At 35.2% G+C, this 16,560-nt stretch overlaps 1 long non-coding RNA gene across 1 annotated transcript in view, besides 1 other annotated feature; it reads right to left on the reverse strand.

Annotated features, from left to right (window-relative positions):
- LOC105377865 (uncharacterized) overlaps positions 1-16,560 on the reverse strand; it is a 374,941-nt gene that overhangs the window by 147,556 nt on the left and 210,825 nt on the right. The window lies entirely within an intron of this gene.
- Positions 15,575-15,744: an enhancer, noted in NCBI's record as "experimental_95703 CRE fragment used in MPRA reporter constructs". NCBI's record gives its function as "activates a minimal promoter by MPRAs in K562 erythroleukemia cells, with activity observed for both the introgressed and non-introgressed 6:78798813 variant alleles {active_cell/tissue: K562}" and the evidence as "EXISTENCE:reporter gene assay evidence [ECO:0000049][PMID:34662402]".

The raw sequence follows: 16,560 nt of genomic DNA on the forward strand, positions 1-16,560 counted from the left end.
CTGATATTTTATTAGTACTGTAGTTTACTTTCTGCAACAAGGGAAACAGCTATAAAAATAATAAGAACATGTTTATAACTGGCAAGATTATGCTACAAAGGGCTTTGTGGTTGACATGTAATTGCCATTAAGGCCTCCGACTCTTTTGTCTGGGTTCATTAGCCTACAAGTAAACTCCAGTTGCTATTTTTCTAAAAGAAGTGGACATTTACGCAAAGTTATGCTCATATTTATCAATTAATAAACAAGTTTCTCTTGTCACTTCCAGCAAGTACAAAGTTAGATAAATAACACAATACCAATTTTCTTTAATGCTTTATCTAAAGCACACTTTTATTTTGCTTCCCTATTTGAAGATTTTAAACTACATTAGCATGGATCATCTTTTTCAGGAAACTGCAGATATAAACTGAAATAGGTGGAAGGTAAGGGTGTGATAGGTAGACGTTAGAAGTATTTCTTAGGAGTGTTCTCTAATTTCCCTAATGACTATGAGTAGGCATTAAACTTTTTTTGTTTTGTTTTGTTTCTATAAGAACTGCAGAGAGTAAACTGATGCCACAGATCTTAAAGCCATTTTTAAAAATACTGAAAAAAGGAGGAAGTTACAAATAGGCTTCTCCCTAAAGAGCCTCATTGAATTTACAAGTACGCACACATACATCCCACGTATTTTACACACACACAAAACTGTCAAGGTTGCACTGGCTGAGCTGCTGTAGTAAAGCTGACCTTGGGAGATGATCTGATGGTAAATGAGGTGGCTGAGCATTCATTTGAAAGGGAAATTTTGGTCATTTTAATCAGAACAGTGGTTGGTTCTCCTGTAGACGAGACAGATTAATGATTGATTGGAATAATTAATTAATACTTATGAAAAGAAAATAATTATATAGTTTATTATAAATGAGCAAATTAAAGTTTTTATACTATAACTCTTGTCTAGATAAATACATTAGAGTTCCATTTTTTAAAAGATTCACAATAAAGGAACTGCAAAAAAAATTATAGGATGTTCGTAATCCAGTCAAGGTAAATGATGGCTATGAAGAGTTAAAATTCTTATAATTGGATGCTAAATTAAAAACACTATTTTCACTTACAACTCAATATGTAAAATTACATATGGTTAAGAACAACAGCAAAATCCTATAAATATTGAGTGGTTGCTGCTAAAACCAGAGATTACAGGTGATTTGAATTTTATCTTTATAGTTTTCTATGTTTTTCAGGCTTTCTACAGTCAGCCAGTAATGTTTTTTATAATCAGTTGCATACATAAGTTTTATTTAAATAGCTTTATCTATCAAATTATATCTCTTGCTTACACATTATCTTGGCACTAAGAATTATATTCTAAAAGTGAGACTCTATCTGTGAAGGTCCTGACAACCATGGACAAGCCCTGATAATGATTTACAAATACTCCCAGGAAATTACCTCTATCTTATAAACAACACAGCATCATGTTCTCTTTGCTTTAACTTATAATAGCAAATTTGTCATGGGACTCAATAGACAATTTTAATTAATGCTGCTTTTATTCCAACAATATTCTCTGCTTCAGTTAAATTCAAAGAAGCTGCTAATTTTCAAAGACTGAAGAGGGAGCTGGATGTGAGTTTTTTGGCCATGAAGAAGATTTTTGCTTCCTCTGCAGTGATGTGAATGAGCATGCTCATTCCTCACCTGGGAAACAAAATGTTGAGGCTGCTGTCATTCTGATACTGAAAATTATAATGATGAATGTGGTTTTTTTAGGTGCAAGGGCAGAGTTAAGCTGTGTTGGAAGAGAAAACAACCTTTACAAAAACATAGCCACACAAAGGAAAAGTACCATAAAGGACTGAACCAGTCTTTGAACTAAAGCTATCGTAAGATTAATCTGATTTATTTTGTGCAAAATGTTGAGCATGGCATATAGTAGAATCTCAATAATTGTGTATTGAATAAATTTGAAGTGTGACTATAAAGTAATAAGGCAGGTTCCACTGGTTGCCACAGTATTTTATGGCCATGGCTTGCTTGTTATTTTACAGTTGGTATAATAGAGATCTTCTACATAAGACCAATTTTGTCCTTGTTTTCTGACTTTAATACCCTTGATTTTTGCAGTACTTAAAAAAATAGATTTAAGAGTCAGACACAACTGGATTCAATCCTTGCTTTTGTATTGTGAGCCTATGCCCTTGGGCAAATAACCTAACTCATATAAGCCTCAGTGTCTTCGTTTGTAAAATAGGAAAAATAAAACCTAACTCAAAGGGATTTGATGAGAATTAAACAAAATAATGTGAGTAGAGCAGTACACCTGAGTTACAGTAAGTGCTCAATAGACAGTAGATATTATTATTCTTGAAATGAATTCATTCTATGCTGTTGAGAGCTAGTATCTTAGGCAACAATATAGTAGAATTGTTAAGAGTTTGGGGCCTAAGTCAGACCATCTTTGTTTCAAGTCCTATCTATCTCTTACTAGTTGTGTGATCTAGTTAGTGAGTTTTCTTAAGGCTCAGTTTCTGCACCTGTAAAATGACAACAAAACAGTTTCCTCACAGAGTTATTCTGAAGATTTAATTAGAGAATTCATATAAGGTGAGTAGCAGAGTGTTAAGATTTACTAAGAGTTGAGTAACATTAGTTTGCATGAACTTGTTACTGGCAAGACCCAGTCAAGGGCGACACTGATCCTGCTGCTGGTTCCCGAATGTCCACGCTTTCTAAAACCTTTGCACAGCAAAGAGCTCTTATATAAGCATCTGGGGGAGGGCTATGTTCACTCGTCTGCCTTGCTAGAGTGAATCGATAGCTTCCCTTTACCCTATTCCTAATGTCTTCGCTCAGCTCATCAAACAGCAGCTGCTCCACTGTATATATCCCATACACATTTATTCAGCATCATATACCCTTAGAAGTTGCTGTCTTTTGACACCATGGGGATAATGAAAAAATAAAAAATTACAAAGTAAAGGAAGTCTCATAAACTATTTGTGGTCATTATTCCTTGCCTCTTAAAAAAAAAAAAAAAAAAAAAAAAAGCTTGAGCTTCATTCCCCAGCTGTCTTTCCCGACCGCCTTGTAAGCTGGACATACAGATATCATTAGACCCAAGACCTGTCAAGACTTTTCAGTCTTATCTACTCTGTCCACATGGATCCCATTCTATCTCTAACACCACAGTCTTCAGCGTGACCACTCTTCTGTATAAAAACGAGAACCTATTGTTACAGAGGGAATCCAAGTTATCCTTAGTAAGCATTCATTAAATGCAATGCAACATACGTAATTGATCTGTGGTTCTCACTAAGCCCTGCAAGGCACATATCTCCAGTTCCACTTTACAGATTTGTAAATTGAGCTTCAAGCAGTATAACAGCTTGGTAGGAATGGAAAAGATGAAGCATAAAATCAGGTCATGGTCACTGAACCACAGTATCACTCAAAAAATGATCTAAATGATCAGTTGAACTCCTAAGTAGGACATATCCATGACTCATTTGTAAAATGTTGGTATATGCCATTTCCTTTCATGATATCTGAACCATTAATAATCTTGAACCATGTTAAAAAGAGCATAAAATTTTGAGGTATCAAAGGGATAATTTAAAATTTATTTTCCTTGTAAAATGATGCTTCTCTTTACAAAGAATTTATAATAAGGACACCAAAGTGGTACAGTCCATTGCAACACGTCTAAGGAACAGTGTGTGGTCACATTGGACTAAGTATCATCTTCTCTGATTTGTTTAATCAGAGTTTGGTAGTTTTCTGCATATAGATCCTTGGTGAATTTTGTTGGATTATTATACATAATAATTTTATTTATTTTGGTGCTAATATAAATGATATTGTGTTTTTAATGTAAAATTCCAATTGTTTATTGCTAGTATATAGAAAATAAATTGGCTTTTGCATATTAGCCTTTTATCCTGCAACCTCTCTGTAATTGCTTGTTAGTTGCAATTGATTTTGTTGTTGTTGTTGTTGATTCTTTCTGATTTTATACAGAAACATTTCATCTGTGAAAAAAAAAAGTTTTATTTCTTCCCTTTCAATTTGTATGGCTTTTATTGTCTTTTTGTGCAAGCTAGGACTCCCAGTATGATATTGAATAGAAGTAGGGAGAGAGGACATTACTTTCTAGCCTTATTCCTGATCTTGGGTGGAAGGCATCGAGTTTCTCACTATGAAGTACCATGTTAGCTGTAGGTATTTTACAGATAATCTTTGTTAAACTTAGCAAGTTTTGCTCTATTCCTAGAGTGCTGAGAGATTTTATATTAAATAATTGCTGGAATTTTTAAAATATTTGTTGTGCCAATTGACATGGTTGTTGACTTTATGTATTTTGCCTTTGATAAGATGGATTACATTCATTGATTTTGGAATGCTGAACCAGCCTTGCATATCTGAGATAAATCTCACTTGGTTGTGGGTTGTAGTTCTTTCTATACATTTTTGATTTGATTTTTCTAATATTTTTTTGAGAATTTTTGCATTTACGTTTGAGAGAGCTATTGCTCTGTAGTTTTTTTTTTAAATATACAATTGTTTTTACTGTGTTCACAGGATTGTGCAACCATCACCACAATCAATTTTAAAATATTTCTGTCACCCCAATAAGAAACCCAGTATCCATTAGTATTCATGTTCCATTTCCTTATGCTTCCACTAGCCTAACACACCTAGGCCTATGCCATCATTAGTCCACTTCCTGTCTCTGTAATTTTGCCTATTCTGAGCCTTTCATGTCAATAGAATTATACAATATGTAGTACTTTGTGAATGGCTTTTTTATGTAGCATAATGTTCTCCAGCTTCATCAATGTTGTAGCATGTGTAACTTCATTCTTCTGAAGGCTAAATAATATTCCATTGTATGACTATGCCACATTTCCTTTAACTTATCCATTGATGAACACGTAGGTTGTTTCCACCTTTGTGCTATTGTGAATAGTGCTGCTATGAACATTTGTGTACAGGTTATTGTGTGGACATATGTTTTCATTTCTCTTGGGTATATACCATGGAGTGGAATTGCTGAGTCAAATGGTGACTCCGTGTTTATGTGTTTTGTTTTTTTTTTATTATTATACTTTAAGTTTTAGGGTACATGTACCCAACGTGCAGGTTTGTTACATCTGTATACATATGCCATGTTGGTGTGCTGCACCTATTAACTCGTCATTTTGCATTAGGTATATCTCCTAATGCTATCCCTCCCCCATTCCCCCACCCCACAACAGTCCCCGGTGTGTGATGCTCCCCTTCCTGTGTCCATGTGTTCTCATTGTTCAATTCCCACCTATGAGTGAGAACATGCAGTGTTTGTTTTTTTGTCCTTGTGATAGTTTGCTGAGAATGATGGTTTCCAGCTTCATCCATGTCCCTATAAAGGACATGAACTCATCATTTCTTATGGCTGCATAGTATTCCATGGTGTATATGTGCCACATTTTCTTAATCCAGTCTATCATTGTTGGACATCTGGATTGGTTCCAAGTCTTTGCTATTGTGAATAGTGCTGCAATAAACATACGTGTGCATGTGTCTTTATAGCAGCATGATTTATAATCCTTTGGGTATATACCCAGTAATGGGATGGCTGGGTCAAATGGTATTTCTAGTTCCAGATCCCTGAGGAATCGCCACACTGACTTCCACAATGGTTGAGCTAGTTTACGGTCCCACCAACAGTGTAAAAGTGTTCCTATTTCTCCACATCCTCCCCAGCACCTGTTGTTTCAAAACAACAGGTGCTCTGTAGTTTTCTTTCCTTCTAATGTATTTATCTGGTTTTTAGTGTTAGGGGAATGCGTACCTCACAGAATGAATGAGAAACTGTTCCCTGGTTCTATTTTTTCCATACATTTCTGCAAAATGTATGGAAAAACTGGTATTATTTTCTTCACAAATGTTTAATAAAATTCATCAGTTAAATCATATAGGCCTGATGCTTTCTATTTAAGAAGGTTTTAAATTATTGATTCAATATCCTATATTCAGATTATGTTTCTCTTCAGTGAGTTTTGGTATTTTGTATCTTTCAAGAAATTGACCATTTCATCTAAGACTTAAATTTGTGGATATAGAGTTGTCCATAATATTTATTTATTCTATGAGCTTTAAAAGCTCATAGAATTAATACTGATTTTTTTTTTAATTTTTGATATGTTTCATTTGTGTCTTCTCTCTTATTGCTTTGCTAACCTGGCTAGACATTTATCAATTTTATTGATCTTTTTTTAAAAATCAGCTTCTTAAAGAACTTTTCTTCCTTATGGATTTTCTTTTTCAATTTCATTTGTTAAAGCTCTAATTTTTATTACTTCTACTTTTCTACTTGATTTAGGCTTTACTCTTCTTTTTCTACTTTTCTAATATGGAAGCTCAGTTTATTTATTTTGAATATTTCTTTTTTTCTAATATATTTTATGCTATAAATTTTCCTCCAACCACTGCTGTGGTTGCATTCCACAAATTTTGATAACCTGTGTTTTTATTTGTATTTACTTAGTTCTAAATATTTTTAAATTTATTTTGAGAGTTCTTCTTTAACTCACATTATTTAGAAGTATGTTCTTTAATCTCAAATATTTTGGATTTTCCAGGTGTTTTACTGTTATTAATTTCTAGTTTAATTCCATCATTGTTTAAGCATATACTTTACATAATTTTTATTTTTAAAAATTTGTTAAAGTGTGTTTTATGGAACAGAATGAAGTCAGTATTGTTTAATGTTTTCTATGAGCTTGAGAAGAACACGCATTCTGTTGTTAGATGAAATATTCTATATATATGTATAAAGTGGATCCAACTGATTGATTGTGCTGTTCAGTACAACTCTTTCTTTAGTGATTTTATGATCATTGGATATGTTAATTTTTGATAGGTGTTGTGCTGAAGTCTCCAGATATAATAGCATACTCCTCTATTGCTTCTTGGAGTTCTTTTTTTTTTTTTTTTGCTTCATGTATTTTAATATTCTCTTCACAGGTAAATGAATAAGATTTTTTATATCTTCTTGGAGAACTGACCCATTTTAAAAATCACTTAATACCCCTGTTTGTCACAAATAATTTTTCTTGATAAGAAGTTTGCCTTGTCTGAAATTAATATATCTATTTTTATGAGTTAAAACAGCTTTCCTTTGATCAGTGTTAACATAGTATATCTTTATCCTTTTACTTTAACCTATCTGTGCTTTATATTTAAAGTCATGGTGGGAGTCTAGTTCAAAACTAAACCCTGTAGGCTAGAGAACCAGCAAGAATTCAGTGTTTCCATTTCAGCCCAAAAGCAAGAAAAATATAATGTTCCAGTCTGAAGACTGTTTGGCGGAGGAATTCTCTCGTACTCGTCCTTTTTGATCTCTTAGCGGCATCAACTGATTGAGTGAAGCTCACCGACATAAGGGAGTGTAATCTTCTTTATTCAGTCTACCAATTCAAAGGTTAACCTCATCCTGAAACACCCTCACACACACAATCAAAGAGGTGAAAGATCTCTACAATGAAAACTACAAAATATTGACTAATGAAATTGAAGAAAACACAAATAAATGGAAAGATGTCCAATGTTCAAGGACTGGAAGAATTAACATTGTTAAAATGCCCATAATTCCCAATCTATGGATATAATTTAATCCCTATCAAAATGCCAATGACATTATTCACAGAAATAGAAAAAAAATCATAAAACTTGCATGGAACTACAAAAGACCCTGAAGAGCCAATGCAATCTTGAGCAAAAAGAGCAAAGCTGGAGACATTGCACTACCTGACTTAAAAATACACAAGGCAATAGTAACTAAAAGAGCATGGAATTGGCATAAAAAAGATGCACAGACCAATTGAATAGAGTATCTATATGACCCAGAAATAAATCCATGCATTTGCAGTCAATTAATCTATGACAAAGGCTCCAAGAACACACATTGAGGAAAGGACAGTCTCTTTAGCAAATGGTGTTGGGTAAACTGGATATCAACATGCAGAAGAATGAAACTAGAACCTCATCTCTCACTGCCTACAAAAATCAACTCAAAATGGATGAAAGATTTAAATGTAAGACACGCAACTGTAAAACTACTAGAAGAATACATAGGAGAAACATTTAACATTGATCTGGGGAAGAGTTGTTTTTTTTTTTTTCAATACCTCAAAGCACAGACAACAAAAGCAAAAGTAGACAAACGCATTATTTCAAACTGAAAAGCTTCTGCACAGCTAAGAAAATAATCAACAGAGTAAAGAGATAACCTACAGAATTGGATAAAATATTTGCAAGTTACACATCTGAAGTGGGGTTAGTATCCAGAATATATTAGGAACTCAAACAACTCAATAGCAAAAAGATACAACTAAATTTTTAAAAGGGCAAAAAATCCAAATAGACATTTCTCCAAAAAAGACATACAAAGGGACAACAGGTATATGAAAAAATGATCAACATCACTAACCATCAGGGAAATCCATATTAAAGCCACAATGATATATTGCCTCACACCTGTTAGAATAGCTATTATCAAAAAGACAAAAGATAACAAGAGTTGGCAAGGATGTGGAGAAAAGGGAACTCTTCTACACTGTTGGTTGGAATGCAAATTAGTAGAGCCCCCATAGAAGACACTATGGAAGTTCTCCCAAAATTGAAAATAGAACTACCATATAATCCAACAATCCCACTACTGGGTATATATCCAAAGGAAATTAAATTGGTTGGTTCAAGAGATGTCTGCACACTCATGTTTATTGTAGCACTATTCACAATAGCCAAGATGTGAAATTAACCTAAGTGTCCATCAACAAACAGATGGATAAAGAATATGTAATATATTTACACTATGGAGTACAATTCAGACATAAAAGAATAAAACCTGTCACTTTCAGCAAAATAAATGAACCTGGGAGACATTATGTTAATTGAGATAAGCCAGGCACAGAAAGTCAAATATTGTATGATCTCATTCATACGTAGAATGCAAAAACATTGATCTCAAAGAAGTAGAGAGTAGATTAGTGGTTACCAGAGGCAGGAAAGGGTAGAGGGAAGAGGGGCATAAAGAGAGGTTGGTCAATGGGTACAAACTTACACTTAGGAAGAATGAATTATCATGTTGCATTGCACAGTAGAGTGACTGTAGTTAATAATATATTTTATATTTCAAAATAAATAGAAGAGAGGATTTTAATTGTTCCCACCACAAAGAAATAATAAATATCTGATGTGATGGATATGCTTCTTATTCTAATTTGATCATTACACATTGTATACATATAGTGAAACATCACACTGTACCCCATAAGTATGTACATTTTTTGGTGTGTCAGTTAAAAAGTAAAAACAAATAATAATGTGTGACCAAATATATGAAAACCTTATGGCCCTGTCAAGTTGACACATAATTTTCACTATCACAATATGCACTGTAATTTTTCACTAAAAGCTGGAAATTGGGTAATAGGAGCTTAAGTTCATAAGCCTTTAGTGTGAGGTTTAATGTGAATCTGTCTAGGAGTTGGACTGTGTTTATGTTTGCAGTAGCTGTAGGGGCCATAGGTTTTATCATCCTCTAAATGTTCTTATTTTTGTCTCCTCTTTTGTCTTTGGATGTCTCTAATAATTCCTTTTATTGAATCTGCATCTTCAAGCTCTGTTAGTTATAATGCACTGTTATTATTCTAGAGCCCTTGTGATGTGATGGTAAGGCATTTTGTGATGGAAGGGAAAGTGCTCTATAATCCTGTAAATTAAATTTTAGTCTTTTAGGGGTCTGCATTTCTGAGCTATGGCCTTCATATGTGTTTCTTAGCTTTTATCTTTCCCCTCATAAGGAAGACAGGAAAACTAGAGCAGAATTTGACTGATTGCCTTTTCCCCAGATAGATTAGGTTTGGTTCTGGTTGTTGTTTCCCTTGGAGAGCAGTTCTTAGTCATGCTCTAAACGTATTTCAGAATGATTACTTTTCCTCTACCCCTAGTAGAAACATGACGGGATACGTCTTTAATCTTCATCATGAGAACTAGTCAGTTTCCTGGAGGAGAACTCATAAAAAGTGCAGCGGCTCCCTATGACTGTTGCCCCCAGGAGGTTCTCACTCTCATGCTAGGTCATCCAGACTCAGCCTCCAGTAATTAGCCAAAACTACTTTGTGTCCAATCAGTTTATGACTATGTCTTTGCTCCAGGTAAGCTGATCTTCATTGTGATTCTCTGCGTTCCTCTTTTCTCTACAGATTCTGGGTATTGGTTTACCTTGTGACCTTATTTCTCTAACAGGTCCAAGAAAAGTGGTTTATGTTCCCTTTCTCATGGGAGTGATGGATTCCAAGCACTTTATGTGTTAGAAATAAAGCAGAACTTTACATCTTCTCTACCAGTGACATTTTTGGAACTGGGGCTGCCCTTAAATCTCAGGTTTTATTACTTAAGTAAATCTTACAGGTTACTTAGCAGATAAATACTATTGATTGGTGACTCAACATATAATAAGTATTTACAAAAATGGATTAATAAATATTAATTTTCATCATCAATTTCTCTATGTAAACTGTTTATTGGTAGCAAATTAAAAAAATTTTAAAAAGCAAATTTAAGAGAAGATAATGTTTTTTAATGCAATGGATTATTATGCAGATAATCAAATTCTAATACCTCTCTGTAGAAGAATGGGAATATGCAACATGTTTTCTATGGGTAACATTTTAGTATCATATGTATCATTTTCCTTAAGAGTAATATAAATAGCCATATTTAATTCAGTCTATACAGTTTTACCTTTACTTTTCATACAGGTAATACCTTCATATAGTGCAACACTATAATTAGTATTTAAACATAAAAAATCTAATATTTGCTTACAGATTGAACTTTAACTTTTTGGCTGGTTAAAAGGTTGGGTTTCCATTAACTGAAATGAGTAGGACTTCAGGTAGAGCAGATTAGTAGAAAACATTCATAAATTGCATTGGGTTATTTATGTTTCATATTCCTACAAGATATCCAAGAAGATAGGTTGCGTTGGCAGTCAGAAATATATATCTAGAGTTCATCATAGAAAGTTGGGCTGGAGATATGCATTTGAGAGTCATAAGTAATTAAAAGTTGTTCAAAACTATGGAACTAGATGAGATTACCAAGATAGAGCATATATGACAGAGAACCAAGCCTTGAGCCACAGGGTCGACAATATTAATCATTCAGGAGAGTGAGGAGCATGCTGTAAAGGAAACAGACTGAGGAGGAGTGAAGTGGGTAGAAAGAATATTAGGAACTGTGGCTTCCTGCAATTCAAGTGAATAACAATTTAGGAAGAAAAAATGATCAACAGGATCAAATGCTGCTCATAGGTTGAGTAAGATGAGGACGAGATGGTATCATTTGATTCAGCAACACAGAAGTCATTAGTGATCTTTACAAGAGACATTATAGTGGAGAGATGAAGGCAAAAGTTGTATTGGTGTAGGGTCAAGATAGAATGGAAGAAGTAGAAATGGAGACACCAAGTACAAACAATTCTTGTTATGACAGCATTTTCTTCTACTTCAAATTTTTTACTATCAATTCCCTTTTGGTGATCCAGTGGCCTGATTAAGTAGTGAATGAGTTGATAGTGAGAATCTTCTTCACTTGCATTGTTCTCTCTGCATAGAGAATATTCTTCCCTCAAAAGCTGTTTTCCATAATTAGCCTTCCACTGAGGCTGGCTTCTTCTCCAGGTGGACCGTGTTCCTATGTTTCTTATAGCCTGCTGCCCTAGGAGACAGTCCAATATTTTCAAATCTCTTAGGGTTCCCTTTATTTGCTTGCAGAGATAGGGTACGAATTTCTCTACAACAATAATGTGATTTTGAGACCGGAGAGTTCCCCTGAGCCCCTCATGGGACTTACAACAGGGGTGGCTCCTTTACTGGGTGCTGCACTCAAACCTCTTGAAGGAGAGGGAGCACACAGGTTAACGGGTGCAGGAGCCAGGACAAGTGCCTTTGGGCACCAGCAGGAACAAACCCCATACTAGCCTGTGCAGCAGCATGTAGGGGTTGCCTGTGACCTCTGGAGCCCCAGAGGGCATGTGTTACAATCAGTGCTCTTTTAGCATTTGTCTTCCAAGAATGACTAAGTGTTAAAACAGCTTGCTAGAGAGTCAGCGTGACAGCATCTTGCACCCGCAGCCAGGTCCTTTTCCGTGCCCAAGAGGAATGAGGTCACATGAACTTGAAGGATGATGAATGCAAAGATTTTACTGAGTGGGGAAAGTGGCTCTCAGTGGTATGGGGAGCTGGAAATGAGATGGAATGATAATCTTCCCCTGGGGTTCAGGTGAACTCCTCTCTGACCATTGTCTCCTATGTCCAGCTGCTCTTCTCCTCTCAACATTCAGATGCTTCTTCTCTTCTCTCCTTCTCTGCTGTGCCACTCTGCCCCTCTGCTAGTGGAGCTTTGGGTTTTTATGGGTACAGGATGGGGGGCATGGAAGGCCAGGGTGGTTTTGGAAAAGGCAACATTTGGGCAGGAAAACCGGAATGCATGTTCTCATTTAGGGCTGCAGGTCTAGGCTTGAGGGTGGAGCCCTTGCCAATGACCCCGCCCTTTTCTACCCAGTTTTTCCCTGCCTCCTGTCCATATCAATTCTACCCTCAATGACTTCTTTTTAGTTTTATCTGCATAATGTCTAGGAATTCTTTGGCATGGGTGCCACCCATGGGTGGCATGGGTGGATACCTAGTGTCCAAGGGTTATTTCAAATTTTCTGTTCTTTTTAATAATTTTTGGTTATTCAGGTTTATTTTGTCAGAGGAAGGTAAAGGGAGGAATGATCATCTATGTTCAATCACATTTGTGGCAACTTAGGCTCAATAAAATTAGATTTGAGCTACTTACCAGCTGATTGCTGTTGGGCAAATTACTAAACTTATCTATGTGTCAGTTACCTTATTCCTAAAGTGACTGATGAAACACAAAGTATTACTGTGAAAAATTGTAGTGCTTGGCACAAGTTAAACTACTAGTTTTTGCCATTTTGAAAGCACACAGGATCTTCATGACATGCAGACATCACTGCTCATCTGTTATATGCAACCATAAAGGTATCATTAAACACTGGAGAAGACTGAACGTATGATGCAGAAAAAATACATAAGTTCTAAATTTCAGAAGTGTTGGGAGGAGTTAGAAAGAGGTGCATATTGTTGCCAAGATTTAAGAAAATTAGGTCTGAAAAAAATCATAGAATTTTTCTAGAAATAAAACACATGACAAAATCATGTTAGGAAGATTAAAATCATAGCAGAGCACCAAGGGGCATACTGGTCTTGGATTTTATGATTAATGGAAACATTATTATGTAGCCTCTAAAATTAATTTAGAGTACTTTTAATGCCCTTAAGGCATATAATAGGACAATGTAAGGTCACAAGCTTTAAATATAGCTATCATCACCCAATTCAATTTCTTCAAGCTGACTGCAAATTAGTTGTTTCTCCTCTAAGAGCCATTCTAATTCAGGGAATTAATAAGCAAAGCTTAATATGAAAACCTTCCTGCCTTGCAAACTATATTTTAGCCTGTGGTAAATGTGGTATACCATGAAGATCTTTTTTGCTAAATCATGAGAATTTTAGAAAAATAAAAAGTTTGTGTGTCTTATTTTTATTAAGATGTTGCATATCTTATATTTAATTTAAAAACATTAAACAATCAAAAGAGATCTGATGTCTATTTTATTCATTCTATCATTTTTTAGCTTTAATTTAGGTAAATAATTTGTTTTTATTGTCAACAAGGTCATCTAACAGTTTTAAAATTAAATGCAAAAACATGTTTTCTACTGTTATTTGTTTATAAATATTGGCAAACCATGGGGTATGAGATTCTTATTTTTCTAAATAATCTCACTTTCAAAGTTTCAACATACTTATATGTGAAAAGGTTATGAAAAAAATGAAAAAGGGAGAAAGGCATGGAGATTAACTCTTTAATTTATTCCGCAAAGCTGTATTAAATAGCTATTACATGCAAGTTCCTATACGATGCAAAAGAACTTATTGTCTTGTGGAAAAGCCAGTAAATAAATAGACAATACAACAATTTAAAAATTGCTATCACAAAGGAAGTACTTAGGGGCACAAAGAAGAATACTGACACAGACAAAGGAAACAGGATTATTGTTTTTGCATAAAGTTGGTTTTCCAGTTATCTGTGCTGCATATGTTGTTGAGAAATATGAGACACACATTCTGGAGAGAAGGAGTTGCATTTGCAAAAGCTTGGAAACTTAAGAAACTCCAGCATGGTTGGAAAAAGTGGTAAGAAGTGAAGGAATGAGGAGAGTTGACGCTGTATGGGTAGAAGCCTGATTTTTAAAAATTATTTTGTTTCAAGGAGTGTTATTGAATGCTTGACAGTTGAGTGTTGACTTGTCCATGTCTGTTTATTGAGAGAGCTACTTCCCAGAGATAGCGGGCTTCTTATTCTTAGGGAAACAAGCCTAATAACTGCTGATAGGTCAAGATAAGAACCAAAATGTGATCATATAATTTAGCAGCATTATAACATTAGTGGCCTTGGCAAGATTTAAAATAGATGTTACGAGGAAAGTTAGATGGAACTGACCAATGAACCTAGAAAAATCTATAGTCTATATTGAGGGCCTCCCTATTATAATTATGAAAAAAAAAGCTGTAGAAATATGCACATTGTGGATGGAGGTTAATAAAACATCTTTGAATGATAATAATCTAAATCCTTACTATTAAAAACTCTTTTCCAAGGAGTTTACCGAAGGGTGTGTGCAGATGAGCTCTAATCCGTGCATAGAAAGAGCTATCCTCAGAATTCAGGAGCAAGGTCAGAAAATGCCCTCCTATGATATTGAAGATATTTATCATCTTCATAAAAATGTGCATGTTTATCCATATTAAGGAGAAATGGTTTATGGAGGCTCTGCTGAAAATACAAATGCAGATCACAATTGCTATCAGGTGACTAATCTGTCTTGCAAATCTCATAAAATAACTAATGGTAAATTGGCAAGTAATACATTATAACACTATTGAAAAATTGGTGTCATGATACCAAAATGGCAGCTTCAATATACAAAATGTTAGAGGTTAATGTATGTTAAATTCAGTCTTCAAAGTAAGGTGTGTGCATCATATAGGGGCCACAAAATGCTCAACAGGTCTATCTGAAAGGTAAACAAATATTCCCACTTCTAAGCGTACATATGGGTTTGTGTATATACACATGCATATATGTGCATATCTATCTATCATCTATCTATCTATCTATCTAAATCTATAGTATGTTTTATTTTGTCTGAAAAAGAAATTATTTACCCTTACTACCATTTAATGAAAGACTCAAATTGGCTTCTTAGTTGGCCCATGGTTAGCTGCCATTCTGTAGGGAGAGCTGTCTCCCAGATACACTTCAATGTAAAGGTGTTTGTGGTGGCATCCTTTTCTCCTCTTTCATCATGTTGCACATACTGTTGTTTACACACGAACAGTCATTTAAAGCAGGCAAAAGACAAGTAGGATTGTTCAAATACTAGGAAATATAGAGGAGCAAACGTATTCAGGAAGCTACAACACATCTGATGCTATGAGAAAGTAGGGAAAATATGGATGAGTAAGGAAATGAAATGGAAATCTAACTGTAAATGTCATAATATTGATAGTAAGGCATTCTTTTTCCTCCCTTTATTGTCTTCTTTACCTATATTTCCAGTGGGCTCTGTGCTCGTTGTTTTGGGAGAAGTTTGTGGCAGGGAGGAATATAGGACAAGACCCTATGCTCTTACAGCTTTTATTTCCAGAAACTAGATGCACAAATTAGGAAAAGGATTCCTGACATACATAATATGAATTGAGAGAAATAGAAGGGAACATGAGACTTCTGTTTATAATCTCCAAGATTAAAAAGAGAACTGTGGAGAGAAGGGAAGATAGATAAATAGAGAGAGATGGAGGGAGGGAGGGAATAATGAGAAAGCTAGAAAGAGGAGAGAGAAAGGGAAGAGATGGAGAGAGAAAGAGGGAGGGAGGGAGAGAGGGAGAGGGAGGGAGGGAGAGAGGGAGAAAGGGAGATGTTGAGAGAGGGAGAGAGAGAGAGAGAGAGGTGTTGGCAGCTCCTGGCAGCTCACAAGGAATCTAGCAAGTCACCAGAGGGAAGTTTGTGGTGCGTCTAAGAAAATAAAGGCATGGGTAATTTCTCCAAAGTTCTGTAAGTTCTGTGTGGGACAGAATACAATTGAGTCACAGAACTTGGAGTATCCAAGCCAACCAAGCTGACATATATCTCACTGTAAACCTGTTGGAGCTAAGCCAAGATCCACATTGTTGTCCTTCCTCAAATTTTTGCCTGAACACTACATGACACTGTGAAAAGAAAATAAATCTTGAGACTCCAAAATCACTAAGCTAAAAGGAAAAATCAAGCTGGGAACTGCTTAGGGCAAACCTGCCTTCTGTTCCATTCGAAGTTATCCCTCTGAGGCTCACCCGAGACATATGCCTACCTGATTGCTTCCTCTGCCCTATCATTTATGTAAAAATG

The sequence above is a fragment of the Homo sapiens genome, chromosome 6 (genome assembly GCF_000001405.40).
Source record: "Homo sapiens chromosome 6, GRCh38.p14 Primary Assembly".
Classification (NCBI taxonomy): Eukaryota; Metazoa; Chordata; class Mammalia; order Primates; family Hominidae; genus Homo; species Homo sapiens.